The sequence below is a fragment of the Homo sapiens genome, chromosome 13, assembly GCF_000001405.40.
Source record: "Homo sapiens chromosome 13, GRCh38.p14 Primary Assembly".
NCBI lineage: Eukaryota > Metazoa > Chordata > Mammalia > Primates > Hominidae > Homo > Homo sapiens.
This window is the reverse complement of record NC_000013.11, coordinates 110,969,142-110,991,857: the sequence shown is the minus strand read 5'-3', so window position 1 is coordinate 110,991,857 and position 22,716 is coordinate 110,969,142. Positions and strand designations below refer to the sequence as shown.

Sequence of the window (22,716 nt, the reverse complement as noted above, 5' to 3'; positions counted from 1 at the left end):
AAGTCATCCATGCTTGGCTGATGCTGGGTTTTGGGGCCCTGGCTCCCTAAGGGGCCTGATTGTGCACCCACAATGACGGAGAGTGGGTCTCACGCAGCTCCTCAGAGGCCTCACCCCATCCCAGCTCCCACCCTCCAGACCCGCAGGCACCCCCCAGGGCCGCACCTCCCGGAAGCCCTCCATAGCCCACAGATCTGACCTAAGTCCTGGTGACTCCTACACTCCAATGGAGTCGTAATCCCTAAAATCGAGGTGGGCCTTTGCTAGGGTGGTTTCTACCGAGGATTAATCCCTGGAACAACTCTCTGAATAAAATAAAATAAAAGCTGGCTGCATGGTTAATAACCTTGGTAAACCTCTCTCGGAGATACACAATACGCCATAATTTCTAGGACAACTTGCAGTGGAGAAATCTGTTTCAAATTTCTGATTTTATGAACTTGAAAACTAAAATTAAATTAAGTTTTTATCCTAAGAATTTCTGGCCTTTGCCATGGAATCATTTCTGCATGGCCAGGATTCTTGATGGCCCCTTTAGTTTTAAAGGGAATCCACACCTAAAGGAGTCAGAGGCAGATTCAGATAACTAAAGCACCGCTCCTGAGACCTGAGTGGTGACATTGCGTTTGCTTCTACACCGAAAGTCACACAAAATCTAATTTCTTGGTTTCTAATTATGATTAAATAATTCATATGCTGTACTACATTAAATCAAATCCTGTCAATCCCCGCCCCCCTGGCAAATGAACTGTCACTTAATAGACTATTCAAAAAACAGCCAATGCTTTGAAAGATAATTGCTTTCAGTTTTCTAAGTTTTCACTTATACAGCATAATAAAGGCAAGCTGATATGACGTGACTTTTTACAGACACCGTTCTCCCCAGCATCTGGTCAATAGTATATAAATATTTACAAGGAAAAATTAGTCAAAGAAAAAAGAAACCTTCATTATCCAAATCGATTTCTTTATAATGCTCATCAAAATTGTAAAAATAAAATACTTTGTTAACTTTCTAGTCATTCCTGTTGCCACACTGCTTCAGCTGGTGGCGTCAAGAAATTTAAGTTTAAGGATGTTTTTGTTCCACAACACTCCTACTCGTGTTCTGTACTATTTTAGAAGTTATCTAGAATAGTAAATTAAATCTGTAAGTGTAAACCTTGAAAGGAGAGAGAAAAGAATAGATATATGTAAGATACAAAAATTTTCACACTTTACAACCTTGAATACCAAGATAATAAAATGCTCTCTATATTTTCTATGTATTTCAGTTTAATCTAATAATATTGCAAAAAAAAGTTTCTGAAGAGGATGCTAAATAACAGCAATGACATTATCACTTTATAAATATACCCTTGCTGTAGATTTTGCTAAACAAACAGTTCTTTTAAAGTGACAAATATAAGTTATAACTTAGAGCACTTAAGATTCAGAAGCCTCAGCAAATTATGGTATCTTTTGGGGATGAAGACTTTTAGAGACAAATGTGAACAGTGCAGCCAGCCTACTTGACTTAGTGATTTACAAATGCATTCAACTCCGACGTGTGCAACACGACGTGGCTTCTCCCACACGCCGCTCCGCTGAAACATGGCGCACTCGTGGGCGGAAGGGCAGGACACCTGCAGCATGCAGTTCCTGCAGGACGTCAATGGGAATTTCGTGTCTAGCAGTGCAACGAACATCACCCGCAGCTCCCTGGGAGGACCGCGAGCTTCACGTGTGGGAGCTGCGCCGCCCCCTGGTACCCAGAGACACGCGGAGCCTGGGCTCCCTGGCTTTGTAATGCTCGTTGAAGTCCAGCCTGAAGCTAAGAAACCGAAGACTCTCGTCAGAGCTGGTCGTCAGTAACACCAAAAACTGCTGCACGATACCCTAAAAAGAAGCAAAAGGAGTAAAATATTGTTTCAGAAAAGAACGATCCACAAACTTATTCCCTGTACCTTAATCTCCTTTGGGTTGGGTTTGTCTTTCCAGATCAACAGGTCCTTAGTAAACGCTCACTACGGCGGGAGTCCAGGGAGCGAGAGCTGCTGGGACCATGGAGTGCACACGGCCAGTGCACCTGCATTAGGAATGGGCACCCTTTCACAAGGACAAATTAGCGATGAATACATTTTATTTGAAAGCAACTAACCAATAGGTGTTTTCACTTTGTTCTTAAGTTCCACAAGAATAAGCAAAACAGCAACGTAACAGATGTTAGAATAGTCTATTCTTTTTATTTTGAATGCAAAACTCAGTGCCACACGTTTCATCTTTCACATGACTCATGAAAGAGGATTTCGTCCTAGAGCCCTCACTGGAAAACAAATTGAGAACATTGGACGGGTCTACATTCCCAGCCATGACCTTAAGGTTCAATGCTGTTGGGTGTGAGGCTGCAGCTGCCTTCCTGATGGGCGGTGGCATCACTGCCATCACCTCCTTATGTGGGGTCACAGACCACATGTTCAAATGCCTGATGCAGAAAAATAATATTAAGTGGAATGGAATAATCTTTAATACTTCAGTTTTAAAATAATACAGATTACAAAGGACTCCATATTTACTTTGCACAATGTGATCTTATTTTATTAAAAATGTCGTAAGCACAGTAAAAAGAAAGGTTTACGTAAAAATATCAACAGAGGTTATCTGTGACATGCTCAGTGCTTTCCTTAAAAGATATCCAAAAATTTCTAAAATGCACAAATATCATAAAATTGGGGAGGGAAGTTTTTTTTAAGCACCAGTAACCATCACCCTTAATCATGGCACCATTAAGTCTTTCTTAAAAAAATTAACATCATTTTCCTAGTATTAAAATGAGCAAGCCAAGATCAGCCAACTAAGAGATCCTTTTTTTTTTTTTTCACAGAAGATTACTTCTAATGGTGAATATTTAAGGAAATGTTAAGACCAGGCTCAATTATATAGACATTTCAATCAAAACAATGATCACGTGGATTAAAATGTTCATAAAATGGAGTCCAAATCTTACACTTTCAGGGTACTAAGTGTTACACTCAGGAGTCTCTCTACTCAGGTCTCTCCTTAACAATTTTGTTAGCCGCAACGTAATAAAATATTTGAGAATCACTTTTCTAGAATCACTAATATTCACTAGCCTCACTCTTTGCATGATCTTTAACAGCAAATCAGTCTCCCCAAGTTGAGATTATTAACTCTGTGATTTTAGAAGTAACAGGGCCTTGGGCTCTGAATGAATCTAGAAGTCTATCTGTTTCCTTCACATTTAACTTTTAAGTTGTATTAAAGCATCATTCAAAAGTAGCCTTTCATTTTCTTGGCCTCATAATCAATTCTCTGTAATTATTTAACATTGCCTTTGTGGTATGAGAGTGGGAAAAGCACACTTAACATAAAATGAATGGCTGGCACCATTATGTTACTCTACACTTAAATTACTACCTGGAAATCTAGAACCATAACATGAGATCACAACAACAACCACCTTTAGCTACACAGTGCATCATCCTACAGAACTTTACTAAAATTACAAAAATGTCCGTCTTCCCCATGTGCATCCTAGAAAACAGCACAAGATATAAAATTCTAATCAAATTTATCAAAATTTGTTTTGTCATATAAGGAATTAACACCCTACATGTCTTTACAGCAGGCCGACAGCTTACGGGGTGAGTTGCAGGGTGCCGCAGACTTTGTCTTCCCCCGTTTCCCCAAGGATAATTCAGAGCGTTGCTCTCTTCTCTTGGCTCATGTAAATCTGAAAATTTTTATTCCAGTGCTGTCCCAAAAAAGACAATGCTTAAGAGTCCATCTCTAGGATTAAGATCCATGTATTAGTCTGTTCTCACACAGCTATAGAGAACTACTGAGACTGGATAATTCATGAAGAAAAGAGGTTTAATTGACCTACAGTTCCACAGGCTTAACAGGAAGCATGACTGGGAGGCCGCAGGAATCTTACAATCATGGCAAAAGGTGAAGAGGACGTAGTTAGTAAATATTATTTCATTTCATTTAATCTAATGCACCTCTTTACATGGTGGCAGGAGAGAGAGATAGACAGCAAATGGGGATGTGCCACACACTTTTAACCATCAGATCTGGTGTGAACTCACTCACTATCATGAGAACAGCAGGGGGGAATTTCACCCCCATGATCCAATCACCCCCCACTATGTCCTTCCCCCAGCATTGGGAATTATAATTCAACATGAGATTTGAGTGGGGACACAGAGCCAAACTATATCAATCCATTAAGATAGAAACCACCAGAAGAGAGAGGCAGTGAATGAGAGGGAGAATATGTGTCTTCATTATCATTTTCCTTTAGCCTAAAATGATTTAAGCACCAGGGACACAGAGAACCTGACTCTGAGAAGTGCAAAGTGAGGATGTGGCAAAGGAAACCCTTTCATGCTTGGACAACAAGACAGGCATTTAGGAAATTGTGGCAGCAAAGATCTTTCTCCAATTGTGCCAAGGACAGAAACTGATCGTGTCCAGACTTGGTTTTATGAGAACATGCACTATAAGAACAAATCTTCAATGCTAATACTGGCTCCTAGCTATAATCAAACAAATATCTATACATGTCCATAGATGAACATTTTTACAGAATAGACTTTACTGAAATGTTCTTAGGAAACAGGACTTGAATAGATGAATGCATTTCTTCAATAATATGTTTAAGCACCTTTCAATGTCAAGTTCCTGAGTTGAGTGCCAGAGGGAACACAAATTTACCTACCACAGAACCTGCTCTCAGGGAGCTCACAGGAAGACATGGTAAATGAATGAATGACTGTAGTAAGATGAAGGAGGTGATGAATTATGTGTGTCAGCCTGAAATAATAGAAATGATCAGAATCCAGTTTAAAAAGCTTATTCTGGTGAAAAGCTGGGAATGACCATCTGGAAGACAAAGACACTAGAGAAGTAGGGTCAGCACTTTGAACTTAAAAGTTGTTTTGCTTTTATATATAGTGTCATCTGAAGAATCATGAGGTTCATAAATTTGGAAAGGAGAGCTTTATTTCTCATAAAGGGTTGCTGCCTGTAGGCTGGGAAGCATAGCCTCTTTCAGAAGCTGAAAGCAGGCACTTCAAGGGAGGGAAGGATAAGACAGGAACTTATGTTGAACAGATTGGCTAGGTATATATATTCTACAGGTTATAAGAGGAGCTCTGAATATTTTACAAAGGGGAGGCATAGGCATGTGTAGTAGAGTAACACATAAGTAACATGTATCCCACGTTTACTTTGGGGTGGAGACTTATCATTTAAATGTATTATAATTAGATCCTATACATCAAAAGGTAAAGCAGATGACCTGAAGGCCCTCATTGTGCAGTCTCTTTAAACTGATCCAAACCACTCCATGGTTGGTGGTCTCTTACCAGGAAGGAATGTTGATCAGTTGCTGTCCACCAAACCGGGGTAGTGTCAGGTGATTGGTTGAAATCAGCAGTCAAGTAAGTCTTTCAGGAGGGCTGGTTTTTGTTTAAAGCTTAGGAAAAGAAAGTCTAATGGCATTTAGCAAAGGAGGGTCTATCATGAGGCCCATCTGACATCCTATACTGTCATGGCTGAGAGCTGTTTTTTTTAAGGTTTCTTCAGGGTCCTCTTGGCTAAGAGGGAGTCTGTTTAGTCACATGGGGGGCTTAGGATTTTATTTTTTATTTCTCATTAGGCAGAAAACAAAGAAGTTTAGTAGGATTATAACATTTTCTATGCAAGTCTGGTTTATTAGTTGCAAAAATTTAATTAGTGCAGTTTGCTTTTTTCTCCATGTGACACGTTTTCTTTTCTTTACAGCTAGTTTTTGTTTCCAATTTAAAAGTGTATATTTAACATTTTATTTTAGGCAAGGTGATAGCCAAAGTCTTTGTGTGAGAAAGGTAAGAAGGATGTTAATCTATAACAAAGATCAGTAGTGAAGAGGGAAGGGGTCTTTCTTGTCACTCTTTAGTCATTTGCAGCATTTTACAAAACACTGTAGGTAAGGAAGAAGGCTAATCTATAATCAGAGAAATAAAGATTACAGCTGCCTACATTACAGCTGCCTGTTTGCATGACTCAGATCCCATAATCACATTTCCTTAAGGCTTGAAATATTTCAAAGTTTCAGTAGCTTAGATTTTGAATTACTTATTTTCACATGTGAAGCTAAAGTCTTACAGAAATTCAGAGAAGGAAGCTATGATATTATGAAATACATATATTTGGTCTTCGCCAGTTTTCCTGGCATACAACTCCTAAAATCCTTGGAAACTTCGAAGTGCTGTCTTTTTGTTTGCTGATGTTTACTGATAGCTTCAGGATATGGTTGGCCACCAGAAAGACAAAGGCACAATTAGAGGGCTAGGACTTTCAGTCCCACCTCCTAATCTCCAGGGAGGGGAAGAAGCTGGAGGTTATGTTGATCATCAATGGCCAATGGTTTAATCAATCATGCCTACATAATGAAGCTGCCATAAAAACTCAAGAGGACAGGGTTCAGAGAGCTTCCGGGTGGTTGAGCCTGGGTAGGGTCCTGGAGCGTGATACCCACGGAGGGCGTGGAAGCTCTGTGCCCTCCCCAATACCTCACTCCGCATCTCATTATCTGTATCCTTGATGGATGTATCCTTGTAATATCCTTTACAATAAACTGGTAAACACAAGTTGGTGTTCCCCTGAGTTCTGTGTGCCACTCCAACAAATTAAACCCAAAGAGGGTCCTGGTATCCCCAATTTATAGCCAGCCAGTCAGTCAGAAGTTTCAGAGCCTGGACTTGCCACTGGTGTCTGAGGCGGGCTGTCTTGGGGACTAAGCCTCAACCTGTGGGATCTGAGGTTACCTCCAAGTAGATAGCGTTAGAACTGAATTAGAGGGACCCAGCTGGTGTCCACTGATTGCTATGTGAAGAAACCAACCCCACCACATTAGGTCACAAAAGTCTTCTGCATTGATGGCTGCTGAGGTGTGAGAGGAGAGGAAGAACAGGGTTTGAGAGATTTTCCTAAACAGCTGAACACGTGGAGGTGCCTAGAGGGTGGCACACCCCTCTCCCATGCCCTGTCCTGTGCACCTCTTCATCTGCAGTCTTTGTAACGTCCTTTGTAATAAACTAGCAAACATAAGAGATTTCCTGAGTTCTATGAGCGGCTCCATGGGATCCCTGATTTATAGCTGGTCAGTCAGAAGACAAGTGAACAACCTGGGGTTTGCGATTGGCACCGGAAGTGGAGGCAGTCTTGTGGGACTGAGCCTTCATTCCGTGGGGTCTGACGCTATCTCCAGTAGACTCAGCACTGCCTGGGCTGGAGGACTCCCAGCTGGCATCTGCTGTGGAACAGATTGATTGCTTAGTATATGGGGGGAAAAATGCACACATTTGGCCATAGAAGTCTTCTGTGTTGATTGTGGGGTGAGAGCAGAGGAAAAGCAGTCTGTTTTTTTCCCTGCACAAGCTTAAGTCCAAATGGGAACAGTCACTTATTCACTGAACAAATTCTTAGCACCTATCGTGAGCCGTGCATTGATCTAGGTACTGAGGATACAGCAGTGAACAATTCAGAAACAGCCACTATCCCCCCTGGGCACTGTTCCAGTGGGGAGATAGACAAGCCCATAAACAAATGAAGATGAAATTGGGTGCATTTGGCACTCCTGGGCAATGACAAAAAGCAAAGGCAAGCTAGAGATAATACAAACAAACAGGGTGTGTGGAGGGAGGCCATTTTAGATTGGGGGATTCACCTAGAAAGACTGTGAAGAGTATGTGTGTGTTTATGTATCTGTGTGTATATGTGTGTATATGTATGTGTGTGTATGGGTGTTATATGTGTGGGTGTGTATATATGAGTGTGTGTATATATGAGTATGTGCACACATGCACACAGGGCATGTTAATGTTGTCAAGGTCTTATGTTTGATTGCTGTAAATAAAGGCTAGATGGTATCAATTATGTGCTGCCAATCTCCTTTATAAGTAGGCATATGAATACATGTCAAAATTTTGATGAGCATAGGGAAGAGATTTCTACATTTATTTTCAATTGCCATGTCTAATCTTTGGAGAACAATTCAAATTATTAAATCATTAATTGATCCTTTCAAAAATGTTTACTTCCTAACTTTATAGTCACTTTCAAATTTTAAAGAAGTAAACTAATAAATGCTTTGAGGAATAAGCAAAACTATTGTAATGAGGTTATCACCACTTTAGCATATAATTAAAGGATTTCTGTTAGAAGCCAAAACATTTTTAAACTCAGAATGAATAATCCGAAAGATTATCCTACCACAATCTTTGCTCTGTAATTTGCCATTGAACCGATTAGACTAATTGCATACATGCTTTTTATCTGCTCTTCATTTAAACAGAAGAGCTAGTTTTATAGGCAACACACAAATGTATCTTGACAGTTGGAATGCAGCCATATTTTTATCCATATGAACGATAAGAAAATGTAAACCATTAGAACCTCAGACCATTCAGGCATCTTCAGAGGTTTTGAAAGCATTTCTTCATCTAAGGGCAAGGGAACACACAGTCACTCCAGCAGCAAACACGAAGAGCTTGGTATGCTTTAGAATATAATTAACCTGTGAGAAATATAGAGGGAAAAGCCAAGGTCAGAATATAATTGCAATATGCTTTTATTTTATTGATGCATTTTCCATTCAAGTTTCTTTTTCAACATTATGTCAAACACAGAAAGAATTGAGAAAAAAGTTAAATGTAATTATATAATAATTTCTCATTAACTGTTGGACAAATGCCAATGACTCCTTGCAAAAAGCAGAAATGAAGAGGGTACTTTTCTTAGGAAGGGAATTAATTTCTAAGAATCAGATCAATTAATACAGACCATAAAAAATTCCAACTTCAATTTGCCAATCATGCAGGCAGCTACCAGGATATTTCTCCAAAGAGAAATCTCCTAGAGAAAATAAAATGGCAACTGGACCAGGGAATGGGTGAGTTGGTCAGATTCTCTGTATAACAAGGGATAATTTACAAGATAAACTAACAAATTATAATATTCTGAGATGTATGGTATAAAAATGCCAAGGCAGTAAGATATTTTATATGGTAAACATTTAAATTTTTAAAATTCTTAGCAAAACAATAAAAGAAATAAAATAGCAAGAGCGGCCAAGCTCGGTGGCTCACACCTGCAATCCCATCACTTTGGGAGGCCGAGGCGGGTGGATCACGAGGTCAGGAGTTCCGGACCAGCCTGGAACTCTGGTGAAACCCCATCTCTACTAAAAATACAAAAATTAGCTGGGCGTGGTGGCACACGCCTGTAGTCTCAGCTACTCGGGAGGCTGAGGCAAGAAAATCACTTGAACATAGGAGGCGGAGGTTGCAGTGAGCCAAGATCGCGCCACTGCACTCCAGCCTGGGTGACAGAGCGAGACTCCATCTCAAAATAAATAAATAAATAAATAAATAAATAAATAAATAAATAAATAAATAGCAAGAGTGCTGAATGAATCCACAGAGATATTCCAAAAAGCAGTAACTGTGTTATTTATATTTTACTGACCTTCAAATTCAAGGATGTCGATTTTTTAGGGTATTAGAGTGTTTAAGTAAACATTAGAAACAAATGTGAACGTTTTGTAACTTGAAAACAAGAGTGCTTAATTCTACCTTTCCCCTACTTGTTTTGCACCTGTTTGAAGCACTGATCCTTTCTTGCTCTGGTAAGTTTATCTTAAAATCTCACCACCCTCCTATTTACCTAACACTGAATCAACTTGATCTGTTTGCTTCAGTCAGTTCTTAGGGGTCAGAAACAATGTTAGCTACAAAAAGGCATAAGGATGTGACTTCCGTAGTTAGTTTAGTAATGCATGATAGAAAATGTGGTTTTCTTACATAATACTGCCTTTCCTTCCAAAAGTAATTAGAAACTTTCCTCCAGAGTTTGAAAGTACTTTCCAAGTTAATAATTTAGAATCCTGCTGAATTCGTATAGCCCTCTATTTTTGCCTGTCTTTGCATTTCAACATAAATACAAATGTAGGGAATAAAAAGATACATATTTTCTCACCCTTTGCTAAGTTTATGCCTGAGGCTCCTATAAGACAGATTAAGAAGAAGAAAGCAGACAAGTGTATTTAATATAATTTGTATGTGACATGGGAGTCTTCAGAAATAAAGACCCAAAGAAATAGGGAAACATGTTTTTTATGCTAGGTTTGATGAAGAGTAGACAGTCTCGGGGAAGTATGGCTGGACAAAGGGAGCGTGATCGAACGGTGGTAACCTGGGAGGCATAGGGTGGCTTAGTAAGACTGGTGTGTTCAGATTATTCTCTGTGTGTCTCTGTGTCTTCAGAGATAAGAATGTTTCTTTTCTTTGGGTATAGGGTGTGTACTTCTTGAATGAGGGTCTCATGACCTGCTTTAGGGTAGAAGGGCAGAGTAAGATGAGAGAGACCTTCCTGCTTCTGCTGTTTTCTCAAATGTCAAAGTGCCATGCTTTGGGTTATTGTGTCCTGAACCCCTTTATGAGACACAAATAAAATATATACATAAAATAAAAGTTGGATATCATTCTCTGCACTATTGCACTAACAGTTCATATCTTTTTTATATCAAAAAGTGAAATCACAGATGCTAGACTGAGGCAGCTTTTAATGACACCACACCAGAAATAGCAAAGCCCAGATGCCATCTGAAAGTTTCCCTTTCATGTTGAGGTTGAAAATCATCCAAGCCCAGTGGCAGCTGGGCAGGGAGGCAGTGCAGTGCTCAGCCGTGGTCGGTATTCAAAGAGCTTCCAGGAAGGATGACAGGAGAAAGCCTTCACAAGTGGAGTGAGCTCTGATGGGCCATCAACAGAGAGACTGAGAAGTCCCTGAGACTGGCAGGAGCCCAATGCAAGGAAGTCCCTGAGGAACAGCTCTGGACAGAGACAGCCAAGAGGGAGATTCACCCCTTCCAATGGATCCAACGGGCATTCACCAGCTCCCAGGCAGGAGGAACTGGAGGTCGAGGTGAATTCAGGCTTCGGGTCACTACAGAAAGTGCAGCTCTCACACCAGCGCCATGCCCAGCCCATGCATTTCTTGTGTTTGTAAAAAGCCAGGTCAAAGAAAAGCCCTGAGTCCTGTTCCAACTTGGGTTTCCCTTAACCAGGGCCCATGGACAGAGAGTGCAGCATGGGGCAGGAAGGTGGGGTTGGGAGGGGGTCTGTGAATTTGGGATAAAAAATAATCTCATGTTTATTTTCAGTAATTTTTATTTGAAATTTAGCTCTTCCTTTAATTATAAATGCAACTAACAAACCACGGTACCCGTACCTTTGTCACCAACAGAAACCATATATTTCACATGTTAAGCTGTTGCAGGTGTTTTGAAATAGCCACTAATCCTTATTTAATGTGTTAATAAAATAAGCCCACGTATTACCACAGCACTAATTTGATATTAAGTTTGGAAATGCTGTATAGAGCAAAGTTAAGCGGAGTTCTTTCTAAGGGAATTTCTTGGAGCCTGCACTACTGCACAGAGGAGTGTGAGTGTGGAGGGGAGATGAGTGTGTAGAGCTGGTGTGGAAGGAGGTAGCACTCCGAACTCAGCCCCCTCTCATCACCTCAATTTTAGAACAAACTTTGCAGGTCCCCACGTGACCCTGGGGGTTGCTGCAGAGAATCAGAGGTTGGGTAGGCCGTGGTCCTCAAGTTTCACTGCACGGCAAACATACCATGGGGCTCTGAGAATCCTCATGCCTACATCAGTCCACATTAAAACTCCTGCAAGGCCCCCAAGAGCATCCAAACAGACATGCAGTGTGAGAGCCGCAGGGCTCTACTTAAACATAGTGACTCCACGGTGAACAGGAGCGCTTAAATTTAGCAGAGAGAGAGAAGCAAGACTCAGAAAAGGATCCTGGAAGTTGAATCTCATAGTCAGACCAATGACTTGGTCTAAGAGGTCTTCCTGACCCGCAGAAACTTCATGTTTTATTTTTGAGTAAAGGAAGTAGCATTTCTTTAGATAGATGTTCAATAAAATTGTCTTAGTCCATTCCTGCTGCTATAACAGAATGCCACAGACTGGATAATTTAGAAAGAACAGAAATTTATTTTGAACAGTTCTGGAGGCTGGGAAGTTCAAGATCAAGGTTTTGGCAGATTCAGTGTCTGGTGAGGACTTCTCTCTGCTTCCAACATGTTTTCCTGTTGCTGCATCCTCACCTGGCAGAAGAGGTGGAAGCAGCAAACAGCTCCCTCACACATCTTTTGTAAGGTCACTAATTCCATTCTTAAGAGCTCCATGCTCGTGACTTAATCACCTCCTAAAGATCCCACCTCTTAATACTACCAGATATGTTTTTGCTGTGTCCCTACCCAAATCTCGCCTTGAATTTTAGCTCCCATAATCCCCACGTGTCATGGGAGGGACCTGGTGGGAGGTAATTCAATCATAGGGTTGAGTTTTTCCCATGCTGTTCTCGTGATAGTGAATAAGTCTCATGAGATCTGCTGGTTTTATAAAGGGCAGTTCCCCTCCACACGCTCGCTTGCCTGCCACCATGTAAGATGTGCCTTTGCTCCTCCTTTACACTCCACAATGATTGTGAGGCCTCCCCAGCAATGTGGAACTGTGAGTCCATTAAACCTCTTTTTCTTTATAAATTACCCAGTCTTGGGTATTTCCTCATAGCACTATGAAAATGAGTTAATACACTACCCCACTGGAAATTAAGTTCCAAACACATGAATTTTGTAGAGACAGATTCAGACCTAACGTTTCTATCAAGTTAATGGTTACCAACCACACAAATTGCTATTTAAAATGGATTGTACACTTGAGGAAATAAGATATTTCAATCCAAGATACCACCCACATTAGCCATATTGAGGAAAAACTAACCTACATAGGAACTGAAAGGATAAAATTCTCAAGTTTTAATTACGTAAAGATCAAACATAACAATTATCTTTAACTATTAACTTCCTATGGTAAATACATTATTTTGACTAAATTGAAGAAAAACTTCACTAAAATTAATCAAGACTAAATAAAAGCTTAGAAATATAGAGCCTGTCAGAAACTCAAACAGCAGAGAATTACAAATAAATAAGAGAAAGGCTATAGACATTTTAGGCACAGAAGATATTCAAATGTTATCCAATGTTCTTTTTAGATTAATGTAACAATGGACAACATACTGAACACTTCCTATTTGTCTGACTCAATCCTCACACATACACAAAATCCTATGAGATAAGCACTACCATGTGCACATCTGGAAGATGTGGAAGGGAAGGCCCAGGGAGGTGAAGGTATTTGTCCAGGATTCAGGAACTAAAGCCAAGAGTCAGACTCAAATCATCTGACTTCAGAACCCAAGCTCTAAACAGCTACCTCACAGAGATAAAGCAGTCAGATGAGTTATAACAAGATAAACTGGTAGGTGATATAAACCCACTGGCATTGCAATACTAAACATAGCAGGCCCACAGCAATGAACACAATATGCTTTACATCAAGAAAGATTAATTTTAACTCTATCAATCATGATGCATTTTTGAAAAATCCCACAAGTGAAACTAGTGAGGCAAACAATAGCAGTTGAAGTAAAAGGTGTCACTTGAGCAAAAGACATTACCAGATAAAATGATGAGCAATCTTGAACTTCCCAAATCTCTACCTAAACTCACATCCTAAGTGTCAGGATCAGTAATTGTAGAACCTTGAGAGAGAGAGAGAGGACAGACAAGAGAGGAGAGGAGAGACAGAGAGGAGAGGAGAGAGAGAGAATGCTAATGTAGGAATATTTCAGGAATCTAAGTGAAGAGTATTTAGAAAATCTTTGTACAATTTTCACAACCTTTTTGAAAGTCTGAAATTATCCAAATAAGCATTTTAACTAATAAAGTTATGACTTTATAGATGAAGCAAGACTAAGATATTTAAATGAGAATTTGAAGTGCTTATCTTAAATATATTGAATAGATATGAACATTTATATCGTGGTTTATCTTTAAATAACTGAAACCTGCAAGTTTGTCTTACGTTTTCACATGTGTTAAACAATGTGTTATAAGAGTTCAAATGATCATAATAAGAGTGTGCACAACACCAACACATGGCCCAGACATCACCGAAGAAGGCTACGTGGGTGTGCTGTTTTCAGGACAAGTGGAAGAGTGCGCACAGCTGGGTTAAGGTGATCAATAGAGCAGAGCACACTGCATGCAGAAAAGAATGTGGGACTAGGCGTGGTGGAGGGGAAAGGGATGGGAATAGACCTATGGAGATCACACCTCACAAGTCTAGGATGAGACCAGAAGCATTTGGACATCAATCAAGATTTTGACACCAATGTTCAGCCAATAATAGTAGCCTCTGAGCTCTCATGGCATACTCCTCAGAGGAGCATGCAAGGTTGTTTCATTCCCCAATTGCTCCACGAAAGTGATTGAAGTTCTATTTCCCGATTCAGAGTTGCAGCTCATGTGTCTTCAGGCAAACAACAAGGGAAATTGTCGTACAGAGGTGTATGCTGCACAGAGATACAGTGTGCATTGTAGGGTTGGAAAACATTTCCTCCACCCTCTTTTGATCAGTGGCTGGAGTCTGTGAACAAAACTGACAAAAGTCAGATTAACAGGAGAAAAGGCATAAAAATAGTATTAATATTTTTAATTTTGTGTGCACAAGGGCTTCATAAAAAAAAAGAAGTAAAAAAATAAAAAAAAACAAAGAAGCAGTTAGGCTTAAGAGATTACATACCATTTTAACAAAAGGCAATAAATTTTAAAGAAGTGACTAGACAAAGGAGAAGGGTTTTAGGCTTCTAGGGGTGATAACTTGTGGGAAAGTGACTAGCAAATATATCAGGAAACTACTGAAAGTAAGGGTTATTTTAGTAAGGTCTTTTTATACTGACTCATCTTGGTGCTGGCTCTCCATATGTGGTGATAAGGGTAGCTCTCTTCATCCTGGTTCAGGAGAGGGAAAAACTCATGTCATTTTCACAAAGACAAGTTTATGTATTGCTTTTAGGCACAAAAGAAAGGGTAGAGAATTTTTCCTGCATCTGTTGATTCTCAATTGCCTTCAGCTCAAAACAATCCTTATGCCAAGGAGGGTTTTTTTGGAGTGGCATGTTCTGGACCCCTCAGCACATTTCCACTCATGCCTGAAACTCTAGGTTCTTTATCCCTAAATGATTGCATTGGCCCGTTTTTGGCATGAGTTTGATTTTGGAATAAAATTAGTTCTTAGCTCCTCACTAAAGTGAAATTGTATGGCTCTTCCTCCCCATTTGCTTAATAGTTTCTTCACCACAAAGCTTCAGTTCAGTGACCATGTCAGCCATCTTCAAGAGGTGAAATTAGATGTACCTAGTAAAAATCAATAGAAACAAAATCAAAAGTAAAAGACCAGTGTCTTAGTCTGTTTTTGCTGCTGTAATAGAATACTATAGACTAGGTAATTTATAAAGAAGAGAGATTTGTGTGTCTCAGGGTCCTGTAGGCTGGAAGGTCCAAGACTGTACGGCCACAGGTGGTGAGGGCCTTCTTGCTACATCCTAACATGGCAGAAGGCATCACATGGTGAGGCAGGTGCAAGACACAGAGAGAAAGGGGGCTGAATTCCCGAGATAACAAACTTACTCCTATGATAATGGCATTAACTTATTCAGGAAGGCAGAGCCCTCATGACCTAATTAACTCTTAAAGGTCCCATCTCTTAATACCATCACAAAGACAATTAAACTTTAACATGAGTTTTGGAGAGGACATTCAAATCATAGCAGCCAGATTATTTTTACAGACCTCTTTGTGTAAGACAAGTTTGCACTGAAATCCTGGACTACCTGGAGGCTCCAGAACAGCTCTGCATTTCAGTCTCAGGTACACAAAGGCAATGAAGCAAATTTCATAAGCAGAGATCAATGATGAGACCTATTAAAATGGAGTCATTTGGTCTATTCACTCCAAGAGCTACTGGATTTTCAAAAATAGAAAATTCCAAATTGGTTGTTAAATGTTCAATTTCAAATTGAAAAAAATTCTGCATTTGCAATTATGTCTCAGTTACCTCTCATTGCTTCCAGTTATCATATTAATTCATTTCAATGTGATTTTAATGCATTGCTTTCTCAATTAGCCAGTAAGATGTGTAAGGAAGAATTGGGTAACATAAGGAATGTTTCTCAAAAGATATTAGATGTTTTGTATCTAGCTCTGATGATTGCTCTCTTAGTACTTAATTAGTACTTAATTCTCTTGAAGCTGTTCTTTTTTTCTTTTTAAATTTTAAGCTGCATCACAATGTTTTGTGTATTATATTCAGTTTTGTCAAAACTATTTGTTAACATTTTTATTTAATTTCTTATTTTTATTTAACAAGAAGGGGCCAATACAAAGCAAAGCCCAGAAAAATCAAATTGAGTTCAGTTAACACACTAGTACTGATTTGTCTGGGCAAGTCATGGCTTTCTTAAAGAGCTCTGCAACTTCATGTAACTTGTTTTAAAACTGAGTGTATGAGTCCATTTTCATGCTACTGATAAAGACATACCAGAGCTGGGTAATTTATACACAAAAAGAGGTTTAATGGACTCACAGTTCCATGTGGCTTGGGAGGCCTCACAATGATGGTGGAAGGCAAGGAGGAGCAAGTCCTGTCTTACATGGCTGGTGACAGGCAAAGAGAGAGAGCTCATGCAGGGAAACGCCCCTTTATAAAACCATTAGATCTCATGAGACTTATTCACTACCACAAGAACAGCATGGGAAAGACCTGCCCCCATGATTCGATTACCTCCCACTGAGTCCCTCCCACAACACGTGGGAATTCAATATGAGATTTTGGTGGGGACACAGCCAAACCGTATCAATGAGCTTCTAAACTCATTAACTGTTGAAAATAAAAGGGAGATGTCAAAGGCTTTTGTTTTATTGCATATAGAAATTTAAAATTAATCCGATTTCCTGTAACAGCAACATAGTAACCTGATCTCAGAAAACATATTCTATGAGAAGACAAGGAAAATAAATGAATGAACAAAGGAATGAAGTATGTATGAATGTATGAATGTTTAGATGGACACAGAAAACTTTTAGGAGATTTTCTTACTCAGGCAAATCTTCCACTGTTGCTTCCCCAGAATAGAGAGCACTCCCTATTTTGCTCTCTTCATTTTTGTTGCCAACACTTAGAATTACTAGTAGAGAGATCTCTGACCATTGAGGTCAAGGTTGATGAGTCCAAGAAGATGTCATGCACTGAAGTGGCCTTGGTCTGGTCAGCAGCAGGTCTTCCTAGATACCATTTGTGGATTCTCCCTAGGCAGGAAGGACCATTGGCCACAACCCTGCTGTGGCACTCCATGATGGATCTAGGTCCTTCTGTCTTTTAAAACAGCAACATAATGTCTCCAGGATTAATCTGAAAAGCACTAGAACTTTGTGATTCTGACACAGTTAATCACTCCCAGTATCTCTATTCAATATTTTCTAAAGATAAAAGTTAAAAAAGACAATTATACAGATTACAGAGACCAGAGTAAGAAAGGCTTGGAGAAAAAAGAGAAACTTAGAGTGCCAACAACAATATAACATAAACAGACCAGCAAATAATAATGCAATTTCCCAGCTAATAGGATTGCTTAACAGCTGAATACAATCACACTCCTGATTAAACAGTAACAACATACACTTATGAAGAAAGACTGTAAGTTGTAATATGTCTTTTCAAGAAGCAGCATATTAACCACTGTTTATACTTCTCTAATTACATTCCTTTAAGTTTTTCATTTAGAAAACAGTTTACATTTTAATATCCAGCATCACTTCTGTTTTTAAAACAATTGGTCACATTTATATTGCCAAATTAAGGATATACAGGATATTTTCATAAGAAAAAAACAAGTGCAGGTGTGCTTTGAAAATGACCTTTAACTGAGGAGTCTGGTTACATAAAGATGAACGGTCTAATGATCTCATCTCCTCCCAGTGGTTTGAAACCTCTATTTTTTCTTATCATGTTTTTCGGGAGCAGAAATTTGTTCTATGAACTTAGAAATTCAAAAAATGTGACATTATTACCGCACCTTCTTTGTTCCACCCTCTTTCCCCAACTCCATTTCTTTAGGCCATAGAAAATGAGGCAGCCTACACAACCCAGTCCTCAAACTCTTGCTTAGAATAGGGTACAGGAATGTGAGGAGAAAACAAATATGACTTAAAGAAGATTGGAAGAGGACCAAATGGTCATTCACTGTGTATCATAATAACATCTGAGAGACATGCCCAAATACAAGCAAAGTGAAAAGAAATACACGGAATAGCACAAACTTATTAAAACAATAGCAATCAAAGAAAAAGAATACCAGGCAAAAGGCCAACCAAAACAACAACACAGAGGAAACACAATACAAAAGACAGAGGAAAGTCCTCTCAATTCTTCATGGGATGGAAAAACTGACACATTACAAAAAAGCCCAAAGATGAACAAAACACAATAGAATTGATATAGAGGGGCATAATTAAATTGAGGATCTAACAATATTACAATAGAGAATAGAAACAAGAAATAATATAGGTATTTCTAGAAATTAAATGACTTGCATGGACAAAAACAAAATGAATAGAAGTGAAAAAGACAAAGGAGTAACATTAGTCAGTGAAAAGCTATTAGACATTGAAGACAGACAATGAAAGTCCAATATAAGAAAAACCAGTGTCCCTGAGTCAAGAACCAAACAGATACCTGATGGTACATGCAAAGATTAAGATAAGAGAAGTTCTTGAAACTAAAAGTTTAAATTTGCATATCAAACATACCTTTTTTTCTGTGAAACTTAATGGGGAATAAAAACATCAAGATAAATCCTAATTATGCTATTGAACTTCAAGATAAGGAAATAATACTTCACGTGTTCAAACAGCAAAGTAAATCTCACACAGCAGAGAACGGTAATCACATTGGCCTCAGACTTCTCCACAGCAACATTCAGTATTTCTCTAAAATTTATAAGGAGGTATATGGAAACTTTTTGTTCAATTTTTCTGTTAACTTAAAACTACTCCAAAAAATAAAATATTATTTTTAAGAAATTCTGAGGAAAAGACAGCCTGAGCCAAGTGTATCATTCCCAATCATTTCATTGTTAGAATGATACACAGTGAAGTCACAGATTATAATATCCATGCATTCATTTTAAGGGAAATGAAAATGTAATAATAAAACATAAAGCCCAGCTAATTGAAATTGAATCAAACAAGAATTCCGAGGTGAAAAATAATGTTTAAAGTGAGAAAGTCTTTTCAAACCCCCATATCAGCAATAAAAAAATAGGGTCAAAGATCCCTGGTGGTCAAGCCATCCTTAGGGTCCTGACCTGGTCTCAGGAGGCACGGTTGTACATTCAGGACCACTTCTTTCTCCCTCTCTACCATGGAGCTGAGATTTGAGGGCTGTTCACCCGGGACCCCACTCCTGGCCCAGTCTAAACCAGGTGCCCCACTCTGAGCCCTGGACATAGGAGTCAGTCCAGGGGTGAGATAGGATCCAGGGGGGTCAACCAGAGTGACTCCTTTGGGGTTTGTCACTGTGCTGATGAAGAAAGCTCTAGAAAGTCTAGGAAATCAAGCTGGGAGGATGATAACATGGAAATGCAGCCATGTTCTCCTCTTGTGATGAAAGTCTCACTGCCAAGGGGAGATTGGGACTGATGCTGAGAAAGAAGGTTTGAGGGAAAGGATGCTGAAACCTGGGTCATCTGTCTCCTGTTCTTCACCACCCTGGAACTTTGAGGGTGGGAGAGAGTGGAAAGGGACATGGGGCCACGGGCCTCTGTTCTTCAAGGCTCTGTTCCTCAAGGGGCCTTTAAGAGGTGATTAGACCCTCTGGATCTGTTGGTTCTGGCACTTGCTCTGTAACTCAATGACCTCTCCAGCATCCTTCAAATACACCTCTTTCCATGGGAGCAGATTTTGTTGGCTTTTGGCTACTGGCACTTAGAGTTCTAATTAGTGTCTACCCCTTCAGTCTTCAGAGTCCTCAGGATGGAGGAAGTCACCATAAAAAGCAATGGGAGAGAGGATCTCTGTTACCTTAAGACTCCCACCAACCTCCTCCCTCCTACCCAGTCATAGACTGGATAGAAACTCTGCTCAGCCCAGGCAAGATGCCAGCAGCTCCCTTCCTGGTCATGATGTCACAGGTCCTGACATTCCACACTGTCCTGGAGACCAAGGCTGGGACACTTAAGACTTTTATAAGGTCCTTCTCCCTCAGCTGGAGGGAGCACAGCAGTGAGCCAAGGAGACGGGACCCTCTGCTTTGTCCTCCTGCTGTGCTGCTGGCAAGAAGTGAAGACCTGGCCAATAAGAATGAATTCAGGTAGAGTCCCAAGTAGATGGTTGGGCAAACAGAAAACCATGGGTCTGAATCAGGCAGGTGACAGTCTCTTCTCCCATGAGTCCTTCTCTGCTGTGGTTTGAATGTGTCCCCTCAAAAATTCAGGTATTTAAACTGATAGTGATAACATTAAGAGGTGGGACCTTTAAGAGGTGATTGGTCAAAAGGGTGCTCCCTCATGAATGGGATTAAGGCCCTTATGAAAGAGGCTTTGTGCAGCATTTGGCTCTCTTGACTTTCACCATGTGAGGACACAGGGTTCCTCCTCTCCAGAGAACTCAGCAACAAGGCGCCATCGTGGATGCTTAGAGCAGCCTTTGCAAGACACCAAACAAGCCAGTGGCTTGATCTTGGACTTCCCAGCCTCCAGAAGTATGTGAAATAAATTTATGTCCTTTTAAAATTACCCAGTCTCAGGTATTTTTGTTATAGCAGAACAAATAGATGAAGACATCATCCTTGCCTATCTCCCTGAATTTTTTACCACTGGACATTTATTCCTTGGGCAATGGAGGAATTTAAGAAGTTTTTCTGTATTTGAAGCCATTTATAATTTCAGAACTCCATACATACATTATATATTTTAACTTTTTGTTACTTTATGGAAATGTTCTAACTTGCAGGAAGTCAAGGAAGAATACCATGAACACCCACATATTCATCCTTCAGTTTCAGTAATTGTGCACATTTTTCCATCTTGCTTTTTCTACACACACACACTTTTGTCATTATCAGGAATATTTTAGCACTGCCCCAGGTGTCTTATCACCTCATGTAAAATGTTTTCTTGCTAACAGATTAAAGCACTGTTTTTAATGTATCCACAATGACATAATCACACTAACAAAATTAACAAAAATCCTTATAGCAGCTAATACCCAGTCCGTATTTTAATTTCTCCCCCATCTCTGTCCCCTTGCAGACATACAAAGTCCCTATACAACCATAAACTCTGAGAACTGCATCACACATGGCTTGGGGCCCCCAATGGATCCCCTGATGTAGTTGGGGTAAGACTTCCTTCATAAGGGGTTTATTCAACATTTCTCTCTGGTCTGGCAGTACCCATTTTCCTTCTGAATTCTCTTTAGCGCCTATTTTTATTAGTTTTTCTTTTTCAGTGGAAGAGAAAATGGGGATTACTGTAAGAGGAGGGAGACAGGGAGTTAAGTGAAAAATACGCATTTCAGAAGACACAGCAGCCTGCTTAGCTACCTGATCTGCTAGGTTATTTCTTCGACTTTCAGAAGAAAGGCTTTTCTGGTGGCTGGGAACATGGACAATAGCTATTTCTTCCGGCAACTGAAGATTATTCAATACTTGAGTGATCAGCTCCTTGTGAACAAGGCCTTGACCTTTACTATTAATGAGACCTCGTCCAGTCCAAATGTTCCCAAATGTATGGGCCACTCCAAAGGCATACCTGGAATCTGTATAGATGGTTCCTTCCTGGTTCTGTTACTTTAAGGATTGGCTGAGTGCAAACAGCTCACACGTTTGAGCAGACCAACTGTTGGGCAATTTTCCTGATTCTATTTCTGTAAGAGTTTCTCCATCAATCACTGAATACCCATTTTGTCTTTTTTCCTCAATCACCCAGGAGGAACCATCTATGAATAAGTGCTGTCCAGTCCAGAAGGGGGTTTCTCCTATGTCTGGTCTAAAAAATCTAAACATGTGTGTTCCCTCCTTAGATTTGGATTCCCTGTTAGGAAACCTGCTGGATTGAGTGAATTATCAGTGGTCAATGTTAAATCATCCTTTTCTAACAGAATGTCCTCATACTTTAAGATTCTTGAGTCAGTAAGCCATCTCCGTGCTCTCTGGTTTAAGATAGTTCTAACTCGGTGAGGCATGCTTACTGTCAATTTTCCTCCAAAGGTTAACTTTCTGCTTTCCTCGACTAGTATTGCTGTAACCATGACAGACTGGATGCATTGAGGCCATCCACAAGTGACTGGGTCTAAGACCTTTGATAGGAAGGCTACAGGCTGCTGGTGGCCTCCGTGTTCTTGAGTCAGCCTCCTAAAGCTACCCCACTGTCCACATTAACAAAAAGGTGGAATGGCTTTTCTAGGGAGGGTAAGGCTAAAGCAGGGGTAGCTATGAGCCTTTTCTTCAGCTCCTCAACTTGATAAACTTCCTCAGAAGTCCACAGGAGATGGTTAGGCTTCTGCTGGGCAAGTTTTTCATTCTTGGTAGTTTGAGGCAAGGGTAGGGACATGATTCCCTCGATTCATTCAGGCCCTATTCTTCACTTGTCTGCACTTACCAAGTGGCCTAAATATTTAACTTCGGGCTCTACATACTGAAGCTTTCTTTTTGAGACTTGTAGCCCCTCAAACTGCAGA

The 22,716-nt window shown here is 40.0% G+C and overlaps 3 long non-coding RNA genes across 4 annotated transcripts in view; 1 reads left to right on the top strand and 2 right to left on the bottom strand.

The window, feature by feature from the left end:
- Positions 1 to 1,255: 1,255 nt before the first annotated feature.
- Positions 1,256 to 22,716, bottom strand: part of LINC00431 (long intergenic non-protein coding RNA 431) — a 24,576-nt gene continuing 3,115 nt past the window's right edge. The window contains exon 2 of the long non-coding RNA NR_126378.1: positions 1,256 to 1,878. This is a non-coding gene — a long non-coding RNA (long intergenic non-protein coding RNA 431). The remainder of the gene's footprint in view (positions 1,879 to 22,716) is intronic.
- LOC124903213 (uncharacterized) lies at positions 14,618 to 15,647 on the bottom strand. The gene is made up of 2 exons (XR_007063875.1): positions 15,226 to 15,647; positions 14,618 to 14,931 (listed from the first exon to the last, which is right to left on the bottom strand). It is a non-coding gene; the product is annotated as an uncharacterized LOC124903213 (long non-coding RNA).
- Positions 20,193 to 22,716, top strand: part of LOC105370364 (uncharacterized) — a 26,210-nt gene continuing 23,686 nt past the window's right edge. For both annotated transcript variants that reach the window (XR_931732.3, XR_931731.3), the window contains exon 1: positions 20,193 to 20,347. This is a non-coding gene — a long non-coding RNA (uncharacterized LOC105370364). The remainder of the gene's footprint in view (positions 20,348 to 22,716) is intronic.